The sequence below is a fragment of the Homo sapiens genome, chromosome 12 (assembly GCF_000001405.40).
Source record: "Homo sapiens chromosome 12, GRCh38.p14 Primary Assembly".
Lineage (NCBI taxonomy): Eukaryota > Metazoa > Chordata > Mammalia > Primates > Hominidae > Homo > Homo sapiens.
The window spans coordinates 57,577,453-57,590,249 of NC_000012.12; the positions used below are offsets into that span (position 1 = coordinate 57,577,453).

At 47.6% G+C, this 12,797-nt stretch overlaps 1 protein-coding gene across 2 annotated transcripts in view; it reads left to right on the forward strand.

Moving 5' to 3' along the window:
- KIF5A (kinesin family member 5A) overlaps positions 1 to 9,181 on the forward strand; it is a 36,590-nt gene extending 27,409 nt beyond the window's left edge. For both annotated transcript variants that reach the window (NM_004984.4, NM_001354705.2), the window contains 9 exons: positions 261 to 321; positions 557 to 628; positions 786 to 890; positions 3,504 to 3,720; positions 3,963 to 4,116; positions 4,418 to 4,500; positions 5,150 to 5,177; positions 5,649 to 5,763; positions 6,766 to 9,181. In NM_004984.4, the coding sequence (NP_004975.2) occupies positions 261 to 321; positions 557 to 628; positions 786 to 890; positions 3,504 to 3,720; positions 3,963 to 4,116; positions 4,418 to 4,500; positions 5,150 to 5,177; positions 5,649 to 5,727 (799 nt within the window). In that variant the 3' untranslated portion in view covers positions 5,728 to 5,763; positions 6,766 to 9,181. The remainder of the gene's footprint in view (positions 1 to 260; positions 322 to 556; positions 629 to 785; positions 891 to 3,503; positions 3,721 to 3,962; positions 4,117 to 4,417; positions 4,501 to 5,149; positions 5,178 to 5,648; positions 5,764 to 6,765) is intronic.

Genomic DNA, 12,797 nt, shown 5'->3' on the forward strand with positions numbered 1-12,797 from the left:
GGCATGGTGGCATACGTCTGTGGTCCCAGATGCTTGGGAGGCTGAGGTGGGAAGGATCCCTTGAGCCCAGGAGGTTGAGGCTGCAGTGAGCCCTGATTGTGCCACTGTACTCTATCTAGCCTAGGTAACAGAATGAGACCCTGTTTCACAAAATAACAATAATAGTAATACTTAAATGGAGATAAAAGTAATAGAGGAAGAGGCAGGAGGAAGGAGAGTCCTGAGGGATCTTTCCATTTCCCTTATTTCTCTTGCTACAGATTTCTGTACGAGCGACATGAGCAGTCCAAGCAGGACCTCAAGGGTCTGGAGGAGACAGTTGTGAGTGGTTCCCTTCTGTGCCAAATTCACAGGACTGGGGAGTGGGGAGGCTTCATTTCTTCCTAACCCTATTCCTCCTGCCCTTTTGCAGCCATTCTGTAGCGTAATCAAGACACATTTTTTCCTAAAGGATAAGTGACTCACTTGATTATAGAGACTGGAGGTACCTATAATTCTGGAGGAATAGGACAGACCTGGTATCTGGCTATTCCCAATTTTTCATCATTCTTTCCAGGCCCGGGAACTCCAGACCCTCCACAACCTTCGCAAGCTGTTCGTTCAAGACGTCACGACTCGAGTCAAGAAAGTGAGTGCTGTCCTTGGGGTTTTGTCAGCCCCCACATCCTCCTCCTATCCTTAGGTTTCTCCTGCCCCTGTTGCCCCTATGGGGCTGGCTTGGCCTGGTCTTGGTGGGACCTGTTTGGCCTCAGGACAGCCACGTCTTTCCTTCTATCTGTTCTCAGAGTGCAGAAATGGAGCCCGAAGACAGTGGGGGGATTCACTCCCAAAAGCAGAAGATTTCCTTTCTTGAGAACAACCTGGAACAGCTTACAAAGGTTCACAAACAGGTAAGAGTCTGCTGAAGGAGTGAAGAGAATTTTTGAGGCCGGGTAGCTAGCATACCAAATCCTCAGAGGCCCCTTGGATTCAGGAAAATCTAGTTGCATGTTTTCCTTACTGTTCGCTTTTACTTTCCCTACTAATCCCTTCTTTATACCATATTTGGTCCACTTGTACCTTGTTCTTTGTTTCATGCCTGTATTCCCTTCTCAAAGTTTCTAACCCACCTCTGCTCAAAGTGGAATTCCCCAGGCCTACCTTGGAGGGAGAGGTTGAAACTAACAGAGGCATGGGCTGTAACTATACAGGAGGGAGACTGGTCAGACGTTACCCAGAGATGGAAGGCAGGGAGATGAGAAGAAGCAAGGGAGTTGGGCTTCTTTCGTGGAGAGAACTCCATCTGTCTAGGTCTGTGGCAGGCATGCAGGGACATTAAATGATGTCCCTGGCTAGGCACAGTGGTGCATGCCTGTAGTCCCAGCGCTTCAGGAAGCCGAGGCGGGCGGATCACTTGAGCACAGGAGTTCAAGACCAGCCTAAGCAACATGGCGAAACCCCATCTCTACAAAAAATACAAAAATTAGCCGGATGTGGTGGCACACACCCATAGTCCCAGCTACTTGGGAGGCTGAGGTAGGGCAATTGCTTGAGCGCAGGAAGTAGAGGCTGCAGTGAGCTGTGATCATGCCACTGCACTCCAGCCTAGGTGACAGAGTGAGACCCTGTTTCAATTAAAAAAAAATGATGTCCCTAAGATGGCCCAACCAGCCCCTGGTTGGGGCCCCAGTCAAAACTCCTGTGTATTAAGTTGCTGCCTCTCTGTCCCCCTCCTTGCTGTTGCGGTTCTTTAGGTGGATGACTGGGTTTCAAAGGTATGGGCTGGGGATGCAGAAGGGCAGTCCAAAGGAGTCAGGACAGGAAATGTTTGGTGCATGCTGGGTAGGGGCACTCTCACTAGCACTAAATATCTGAGCCTTGAAGACAGGCTCGGCAGGCTGTCAACTGGTCCTTTTAACTAATTCATAAAATAAACCCTAACCTATACTTCATTCCTTTCCTTTCAAATCTACCTTAAGATTCCATTTAAACTTACATTCTCACTAGCCTAGCACTTAAACTTCTTTTCCTCCCAGTATAATGCCCAGCTTATATAGTAAATATTCAGTACTTTTTTTTTTCTTAATGAATCCTAAACCTGTGCCCAGTGATAATGTACAGAGTTTATTTATCTTATTTAGGCCTGCAGAGGGCTTTGCTACGATTTTATTTCCTTTATTATGAAACTGAGTAACAAAATTATAGAAAAGTTGAAAGGCAGATAGGAAACATTTGAAATCAATTCTGCCATTCGATTTTCATTCCCGCATTCACTTTCCCTCTCTGTCCAAATCCATATTATGTTGCTTAGAACACACACACACATGTGTGTGCTACTCTGGGCCTCTCTGCCTATGGGAAAGCCCTGCTCTATGGAGCAAGCCCCAGAAAAATTTCCATGAAAAAACACAACCACACACTGTTTCCTTTATCGTCACTGAAGCCTCTGCCTCTGTTCAAAGTCCCAAAAAAACAAAAATGACTCACCTATAGGATAAATAGAGGACTCACTACAATTTCCTACCTCAGCAGACACAAGAGTAAAAAGGAAAAGGAGATAAAAACTTCTCAGTTAAGAGAATCTTAACAGCCAGGACTATAGCCCTATATCAATTAAGCTAAAGTATTGTCACAGCAAAACATTGCTTATACTCCATAAATTGTCCAAATGGAAACTGCATGGAAGGGTTTCTAGCTTGTCCCCTTGAGCCCCCAGTGTTCCCCGCTATGCTGATTTACCCGCTGTCTTCCAAGGCCCTGCTCCTTTTGCAACCTATAGTGCCCCCAGTCATTGTGTGGAACCTGTAAAAAGATCAGGAAGTCTTTTCGGGCTGCAGGGTGGTTGCTCCCATGCTCTAGCTTAATTTCACTGGGGGAGGGATAACCCAGGAAGTCCTTGAATGTGAAGGTAATGAGTGCAAATGTTTGTGAGACCTCAAACATTTTCTTTCCTTCCTACGGGGCGGGCTCTGCCTGTCTATATGTGTATGTCAGGGGCTCCTGAATTCCAGCTTCTGCTCCTGCTCTGCACTGCACCTGCCATGCACAGATTCTCCTCAATGCCACAGCCACCAAACTGCTACTGTGCCCTTGCTGCCCCACCCTTTGCATGCCCACAAAGCCCTCTCTGGGGAAGCGGGTCCCTCATCCCCATGGCCGCCCTGGGGCTATTGATCTGGCACATGCTGGGAGATGTGGGGGAAACCAGATGGAGACAGGACAAGGCGCTCTCACAAGAGTTCTGGGCTGCAGTGGAGATGGCAGGTTTTACTGCCTAGAAAATTATATAACTTTTAAATGCCTGACCACCCACCCTTCGCTCTGGGAGAAGGAATGAGCTGGACAGAACAGTCCATTACATAAAGGCAATGAGGCCTTTTGAGGAAATGACATGGTCTCCATCTTCTCTGACTCCTGATTTTTCTTTATTCTCTCTCCTCACCCCTGTCCCCTACGCTCCTCTGGGTGACCGTCTTGGGTCACTTGCCTTCCTTTCCACTTCTTCCCTTTGGCTTGCCCCATAGCTGGTACGTGACAATGCAGATCTGCGTTGTGAGCTTCCTAAATTGGAAAAACGACTTAGGGCTACGGCTGAGAGAGTTAAGGCCCTGGAGGGTGCACTGAAGGAGGCCAAGGAGGGCGCCATGAAGGACAAGCGCCGGTACCAGCAGGAGGTGGACCGCATCAAGGAGGCCGTTCGCTACAAGAGCTCGGGCAAACGGGGCCATTCTGCCCAGATTGGTGAGTAGGTGTTAGCAGGCAAGGTGGGAGTATCTCCTGAAGCAAATTTAGCAAATTGCTAATTGCCAAGCAACTAGATTATTGCTTCTTACCTACCCCTAGCCTCATCCCACTTCCCCCCAAAAAGTAAAAAAGTGATTATGTTACAAGCAACTCAGTTCAACCCCAGCTAAATGACCTCAGGGACCAGGGCAAATGCAGGGTCATAGCCTCCTCATGGTTGTTTTCTTTCTTTATTGCAGCCAAACCCGTCCGGCCTGGCCACTACCCAGCATCCTCACCCACCAACCCCTATGGCACCCGGAGCCCTGAGTGCATCAGTTACACCAACAGCCTCTTCCAGAACTACCAGAATCTCTACCTGCAGGCCACACCCAGCTCCACCTCAGATATGTAGTGAGTGACCACACGTGTGGGTTGGAGTCCCACCCAAAGCTCCCTGGACCCTAGAAGGCATAGGGTGGGGGCAGTTATTGGTTGTGGCTTAATTATTTTCCTAAACCCTTTCTCAACTTCATGCCTATGATTAGAAGGTAGGTGTCTGCCCTCCCAGCCTGTGGCCATGTTTGTTTTCCTCTGCTCTCTGGGGATGGGGAGGGCTGAGCAGCTCTATCACTGAGGATGAGTGTGGATTAGTGGTCCTCAGACTAGTGGAGGGTGGGTGTCAGAGGCTGCCTCTTTCCTCTGCTCCATCCAGCTTTGCAAACTCCTGTACCAGCAGTGGAGCCACATCTTCTGGCGGCCCCTTGGCTTCCTACCAGAAGGCCAACATGGACAATGGTGAGTGAAAAAGATGGGTAATCCCACCTTTGGGGTCCTCAGGGCAAGTTGAGAGGCATAAAAGTAAGTGACCTTAGTGTACAAAAAACACTGACTGAACCTTTCTGGTGTGCCAAGGCTTCAAATAAAAAAAAAAATACATATAGCCAGGTGTGGTGGCATGCACCTGTAGTCCTAGCTACTTGGGAGGTTGAGATAGGAGGATTGCTTGAGCTCAGGAGCTTAAGGCTGAAGTGCACTGTGAATACACCTGTGAATAGCCACTGCACTCAGCCTGGGCAGCATAGTAAAGCCCCATCTCTAAAATAATAATAATAACACATATGAAGAAAAAAGTGACCCTGTACCTACAGCCTGAGCACTGCCCAGCCCTTTAGGTCTCAGGCTGCCTGGGAGTGGATTCCTCCTATTACCACGCCAATCCCAGCCCTTGCCTTCCAGTTCCCTTTTCCTCTCCTTGGTGAGGGGCTGCAGAAACTTTTTCTCGAACAAAATAATGATGTAGCTTGGGATAACTAAGGAGAAAGTGTCACAGCTTATCTTTTTCTCTAAGGGATTAAGATGGGAGAGGGTTTGCGCAAACTGTTTCTAACACCCAATCTCCTTTTTTCTTCTTCTAATCCTGTGTTCTCAATGATGATCTCTTCAGGAAATGCCACAGATATCAATGACAATAGGTACAACAGTCCCCACTACCCCTGGGTTCTCTGGGTGGGACCAGAAGAAATGATTAAATTTCCCTTGTGCCCCACTTGGAGGTTCCTGGAGCCTTTGGGGAAGGGGGAGGGAGTGAGACTCATTCTTTTCATCACTGTGTTGTCCAGGAGATCCAGTCATTCCCCTGCCTCAGTGCAGAATATCTCCCCTCCTCCAATCCCATCTGTGGCTTCTCCCTATTCCAGTGATAAGGTCTGGACGAAAACAACGTGGGCATCTGACGACTGGGTTTCTCTCCTACCTTTGGAAGCCTTGTGACATTGGACAAGTCATTTACATCCCTCTGGCCTTGAGTTTCCCTGTATTCCTGTAAAACACAAATAGTCCCTGCCGTTTGTGATCTCACAGGGACACTCTCAGAGCAGAGTAACCATGATGACAGGAATACTTTAATTTCTATGGAGCTGATCATGGTGGGTCTCTTCCTCCAGGAGTGACCTGCCGTGTGGCTATGAGGCTGAGGACCAGGCCAAGCTTTTCCCTCTCCACCAAGAGACAGCAGCCAGCTAATCTCCCACACCCACGGCTGCATACCTGCACTTTCAGGTAGCGTCAGGCTGCTTCCTCGGACCAGCCTCAGGTTGCTTCCCTTCTTGCTGACAGCCTCTTTGGTTTTCCTGCTGCTGCTTCTTTTTTTTTTTATCACCTCAAAACTTTAATTATGTAGTTACCCCTCAACTCCTGCTTTCCCCTGTTGGGGGCTACACCTGTGCTGCCCCATGTAATCTGGACGTTGACCTCCCGTGCCCCCTTTTGCTTTCCGTTAGGCTACAGTGGTAACCACAGTACTGTCTTTTTGCCACTAGGGGTCACTGTCACATGTCCAAAGAAGTGAGCTTGGCCGCTGTAGATTAGAACCACAGGGGTGGTAGACTGCAGATCTATCAGGAGACCCTAGGGGGCCATCTCAACCCCACCTCTTCCTCCACCCTGAAATAATTTTGGATGGATAGGTGTTTTTGGAACTAAGACATCTCCAGTTAAGGCGATGTTTGCTTCACGCCTGCACCTGTGTCCCATCCTCTTCCCATCTGTATATGCCACCAGTAAGCTTTAGGAAACGCCCCACGAAATCAGTCAGCGCTCCCCTCCCATCTTGCTCAGTGGAGGTGGCAAAGCCCCTCTTTTTCCTCCTCTGTCCCCAGGTGCTCTCCTCTAGCAGCACAGGAACCTTCTTTGTTCTTGTGTGTCACTGGGTTTCTCACCAAGGTTGCTTTAGGGCCCAGAAGTGGCACAGAGAACATGGCCAGTCTCTTACTGGGCTGCATCTAAGCTGAGCCCTCTCCAGGGGTTTCCCAGAATAGTAAACCAGGCACACACAGGCAGAAAAGTCTGAGAAGCAGAGAAGTAGGAATGCAGAAGAGGAGTTGGGGAGACCTAGGGGTGGAGGTGCAAGCCTGGGTCACGGGGGGCGGTGGTAGGGGGGTCTGCTTGTTGGTATTAAAGGAACAGGACAGTAAACCAAAGTGTGTGCAGATGCCACCTGTTCCTGTTCTGTGACTGAGCTACAAGCTGGGCCCTCACACCCTCTTTCTCTTTCTTTCCCAGTTTCTAAGAGGGACTGAGGCCTCTTCTCAGCATGCTGCAAACCTGTGGTCTCTGATACTAACTCCCTCCCCAACCCCTGTTGTTGGACTGTACTATGTTTGATGTCTTCTCTTACTTACTCTGTATCTCTTTGTACTCTGTATCTATATATCAAAAGCTGCTGCTATGTCTCTCTTCTGTCTTATTCTCAAGTATCTACTGATGTATTTAGCAATTTCAAAGCATAGTCTACCTTCCTTATTTGGGGCAATAGGGAGGAGGGTGAATGTTTCTTCTTTCTCATCTACTCGTCTCACACTGAGTGGTGTTAGTCACTGAGTAGAGGTCACAGAGATGACAAAAGGAAAAATGGGAGCTAGAGGGTTGTGACCCTTCATACACACACGCACGCACGCACACAAACATGCACACACGCATGCACACACACAAAGCCTTAAGCAGAAGAATGTCTTAGCATCATGAGACAGAGAAATAGACTCTTCCTCCCTCCTCTTTCACATATAGCACAGGGGAAGGTAAAATGGAAGGGCTGCTAATTGAGACATATAATTTTCTTCATACACCCCTCACCTTAATCAAAGGATTCAGGTGTTACTTCTGCCCTACAAAGTCTGCCTTTTGCCTCCCTCTTCCTGTTTTCCCCTGGACTGAGAAATGGGTTGCTCAAGGGACCATTTCCCTTTTTCTTCAAGCTCCTTTTGATATTCCCTGCCCCAGAGCTCATGACCAGAACCCAGAGCTGATTTAAAATATTTTGAAAAATGGAGGAGGCAGACTGCTCCCAGCAGCCTGTCAATGGCTGCTCATCTGTCCATGGAGATGGTTACAGGCAGGTGTAGTCAAAATGATTGATTCCTTGGGTTTGGGGGTGAATAGGCTGGGAAATTTCTGAGCCTTTTTTTTTTGTCACAGTGCCCTCAAGTTGAAGTGATGAGCTGGATTTCTTTCTTGTTCCATACTGGGCGGCATGCTCCTCCCATCTCCACCCCTTGGTTTGGGGGCTTCCAGCTCATTGGCAAAATCTCTCTAGTTGCCTTCCTTTCAAGCTGGAGCCTGACTTTTCCCCAATGTACATTTTTTTTTTCTCCACAAAGAGTTCCTTCTCTAATGTCCCCATCTGGTATTAAGTGCACTTTAAAGAAAGGGGCAGGGTGGATTTTCAAGAGGTGGGAAGCTCTAAGGCTTGACCCTGAGGGGTCTTCTCCCAGCCATTCTCAGCCCATATGCAGCACCCTCCATACTGAAGAGGACTGTTGTTTTAGTTTCAGACGGTCCTTTCCTTCCACATGGTGCTAAGGTGGTTTTCTAGGTAACTGCAGGGATGGAGGTCACTAGCCATTCCAAACCAGGAGAGAAAGTCTGGTGTCCTGATATCCAGTCTTTTCTAGGAGGAAGACCAAGATTCTCCAGCGGCAGGGCAGCCTATCACCCAACTTCTAAGTCAGGAAAGGAAGCTGAGTGGGAATGCCAGCTGGTAAGCGCAGGCTGCACTGGCCCATGACTCCTTCAAGGAAAAGAGGCCCTGCTCCCTTTACCTGCTGAGCTCCTTTTAGCAGTTAGGGAGAACTGCAGGGGGAAAAATACCAGTGGAGTGTGGAATAAATCCAAAGCAGTGATTTTTAAATGTTTTTCAAAAACAAATCTTACATAGAACCCCAATATAAAAAATAAAGTAATGCAGACCTGGGCAGTTTGCATTTTTTTTTTTTTTTTTTTTTGGTGGAAGAAGTCTCAGCGTCTCTTAGGACTGACTGTTCAAAGGCTCCTCAGCAAATGAGCCCTTGAACAGTCCTAAGAGACCCTGAGGATTCTGTGGAGTAGTTTGAAAACCATTGTTCTGAGGAAGGGGGTCCAATCTGGCTCCTCTGCACTAAAGCTGCAACTCATGGAAAAGAGGGCAACGGTGGGGTAGACAAGCCATGCTGTCTCCAGACCCACTAGGGTGGAAGGAAGGTTCCTGTGGGCCTGTGGACTTAGGCTAATATTTGCTGTCAGCAGGGCACTTAAGAATCCAGGGGGTTTTATGTAATGTTGCCACCACATGGTTCTTTTAAAAACACATAAGGAAATGTGAGGGTGTAGCGCAGATGAGGAGAGAGATGACACAGAGGGAGCAGCCTTCTCTTTAGCAAGATGTAAGGGAAATATAATTCACTTACATAAAAAAGAAACAACACACACGCAAACCCTTCACCAGAAGCTTCACACTACATCCTCCTCCTCCTCCTGCTCCCCACCTTCACCGCATCCCTTTCAGAGCCAGGGTCACTGCAAGGGGCACCTGGCCTGCCCACTCACATCTGCCAAAATGTTGCATGCCAGCGTGGAAGACAAACCAAACTGCGCAACCCCCTGTGTGTATTTACTTGGTGTACATAGATAACTTTAAAATAAAATAAATTCAATGATAACTCTATGTTGTTGTAAATATTCTTTATCCCTTCCCAATCTCACTGCCTTCTTTGGATGAAATGGAACTTGATAGAATATATCCTTCCAGATGTTTTTCTATAGATTTACATAAGGCTTGATTTTTTTCCTACTTGACAATATATCCTGGAGATCTTTGTATGTCAATATATATCAATTGACCTCATTAAAATATAATTTTTCACATATTTATCCTACAGTTCATTCAACCAGTCTACGACTGGTGGATATCTATACTGTTTGTAATTTTTACCAAAAGCACTATCTTGTTCTTTCATTTTTGACCCAGAGCAGTCTCAGTCCTGGCATCAATTCCTTCCCACTCCAGTGTTTCACCATCTCTCCACAGCCAACAGATCAATATTCCTGTCCCAGGATCATCCACTACAATCACCCTTCCAACCCCCATTTTAAAGCATACTCCACCTCTCTTCTCTGCTCATATCTCAAAGCTTCTCAGATGGAGAAAACTGCACACCCAAAAAACTGGGGCAAGTAAAACTGAAGAGCCTACAAACCTGCCCGGACTTTCGGTGCTTCTCACTTTCCTCTCCTATCTCCCAGAGCAAGGGTCTACACCCTTTCCACCCTCCTCTGTCAGGCAACAACTTTGTCATCTAAGGCACTTGAGCCTGAAATTCTTTTATCTTGCCCCCTGCCCACATGCACCTACACAATTACCTATCTGTGTCTGCACTTATCCTTTCCTTCTCCCTTCTGACCAGTGATAAATCTCCTTTCTCTGGGCTAAAGTGAATCCCTTCTAGATATTTCATTCTTGAGATACTGATATAGAATCTCAATATACAAATATATAACATATCTAAAACTGATAAACTGATGGAGACTTGAGGAGTTTGCATCTTTTTTTTTTTTTTAAAACAGAGTCTCGCTCTGTTGCCCAGGCTGGAGTGCAGCGGCACAATCTCGGCTCACAGCAACCTCCGCCTCTCAGGTTCAAGCAATTCTCCTGCTTCAGCCTCCTGAGTATCTGGGACTACATGTGCACACCACCATGCCCGGCTAATTTTTGCATTTTTAATGGAGATGGGTTTTCACCATGTTGGCCAGGCTTGTCTCAAACTCCTGGCCTCAAGTGATCCGCCCGCCTCGGTGCATCTTCTTTATTAATGCCTGTCTCAGTGGTCTCATCTCCTTGTAAGGTCCTTCCCATAAGAGTCCCTCCCTTTACTGTGTGTTTCTCTAACTGTGTGTTTCTCTATCTTACTTGTTTTCTTAAAGTCAGATATCCAGAAACCATCCCAAGCTTCCCATCCCCACTTCCTCACCCCCTATTCATTCCTTAGCCCACCTTGATCTGCCTCTTGTTCTGCTCAAAACTGCTTTTCCAAATGGCATTAGTTACCAAATACAGTGGACATTTCTTCTGGACAACAGTCCTTGTTTTGCTTCACCTCTCCATGACATATACTTCTTCACTCCTTCCTTCTTGAAACTCAACTCCCCTTGGCTTTTGTGACCCTGCTGTCTTGGCTCCCTGTACTTCCCTGGCCACCCTTCCGAGTCTTCCTCCCCAGGCCTCTTAAATGCTGCTCTATCCCAGGGCTCAGCCCTTGGTTCCTTCCTTGCTCTTTCTAAGACATGTCATCCATGCCTGCAGATTCCACAATTCTTCAATCCGTATCCCCAGTCCAGAACATTCTGCTCAGCTGCGGGAGCATGTGTCCAGCTGACCTCAGATGCCTCAAACATGTTCCAAACCGAACTCACCTTCCTCTGAATCTGCTCCTTTTCATGTCACCATCATCTCTCTGATATCATCATCATCATTAGCCAGAAGCCTTAGACTCACTCTCAATGCCTCCCTTTTCCTTCAATCCCCACATTCATATGAATTTTCCAAGTTGACATCAAACTGCATCTTTAGATGCCACCCTCTTCTTTCAAACACAACAGCCACTGCTTTAGTTCATTATCTCTCCCTGAACTTTTGCAATACTCAAGTCATCCTCCAGGAACATGCCTGAGTGATCCTTTTTTTTTTTTTTTTGAGATGGAGTCTTGCTCTGTTGCCCACGCTGGAGTGCAGTGGCAGGATCTCGGCTCACTGCAACCTTGGCACCCCCCCTCCCCCAGTTCAAGCGATTCTCCTGCCTCAGCCTCCTGAGTAGCTGGGATTACAGGTGTGCGCCACCACGCCCGGCTAAATTTTGTATTTTTAGTTGAGATGGGGTTTCACCATGTTGGTCAAGCTGGTCTCGAACTCCTTGTAGGGTCCAGACCTACTGGGCTTAGCGGGTGTTCTCCCTGTGTGCGGAGACGAGAGATTGTAAGAAATAAAGACACAAGACAAAGAGATAAAGAGAAAACAGCTAGGCCTGGGGACCACTGCCACCAAGACGCGGAGACCGATAGTGGCCCCTAATGGCTAGGCGCACTGGTATTTATTGAATACAAGACAAGGGGCAGGGTAAGGAGGGGTGAGTTGTCCAAGTGATTGATAAGGTCAAGCAAATCACGTGATCATGGGATAGGGGTCCCTTCCCTTTTAGGTAGCCAAAGCAGAGAGGGAAGGCAGCATACGTCAGCATTTTCTTCTATGCACTTATAAGAAAGATCAAAGACTAAGATTTTCACTATTTCTTCTACCGCTATCTACTAAGAACTTCAAAGAGGAACCAGGAGTACAGGAGGAACATGAAAGTGGACAAGGAGCGTGACCACTGAAGCACAGCACCAAAGGGAGGGGTTTAGGCCTCTGGATGACTGCAGGCAGGCCTAGATAATATCCAGCCTCCCACAAGAAGCTGGTGGAGCAGAGTGTTCCCTGACTCCTCCACGGAAAGGGAGACTCCCTTTCGCGGTCCGCTAAGCAACAGGTGCCTTCCCAGGCACTGGTGTTACCGCTTGACCAGGGAGCCCTCAAATGGCCCTTATGCGGGCGTGACAGAGGGCTCACTTCTTGCCTTCTAGGTCACTTCTCACAATGTCCCTTCAGCACCTGACCCTATACCTGCCGGTTATTCCTAGGTTATATTAGTAATGCCACAAAGAGTAATATTAAAAGCTAATGATTTATAATGTTTATACTGATGATTGATAATTGTCCATGATCATCTCTATATCTAATTTGTATTGTAACTACTCTTTATTCTAACTATTTTCTTTATTATACTGCAACAGTTTGTGCCTTCAGTCTCTTGCCTTGGCACCTGGGTAATCCTTTGCCCACAACTCCTGACCTCAGGTGATCCTCCCGACTCGGCCCCGCAAAGTGCTGGGATTATAGGCGTGAGCTACCGCATCTGGCTTTTTTTTTTTTTTTTTTTTTTTGAGACAGAGTCTTGCTCTGTCGCCCAGGCTGGAGTGCAATGGCATGATCTGGGCTCACTGCAACCTCTGCCTCCTGGGTTCAAGCGATTCTCCTGCCTCAGCCTCTCAAGTAGCTGGGACTACAGGCACCTGCCAACATGCCCGGCTTTTTTTTTTTTTTTTTTGAGATGGAGTCTCACTCTGTCACCCAGGCTGGAGTGCAGTGGCGTGATCTCTGCTTGGCGTGATCTCTGCTTGGCGTGATCTCGGCTCACTGCTACCTCCGCCTCCTGGGTTCAAGTGATTCTCCTGCCTCAGCCTCCTGAGTA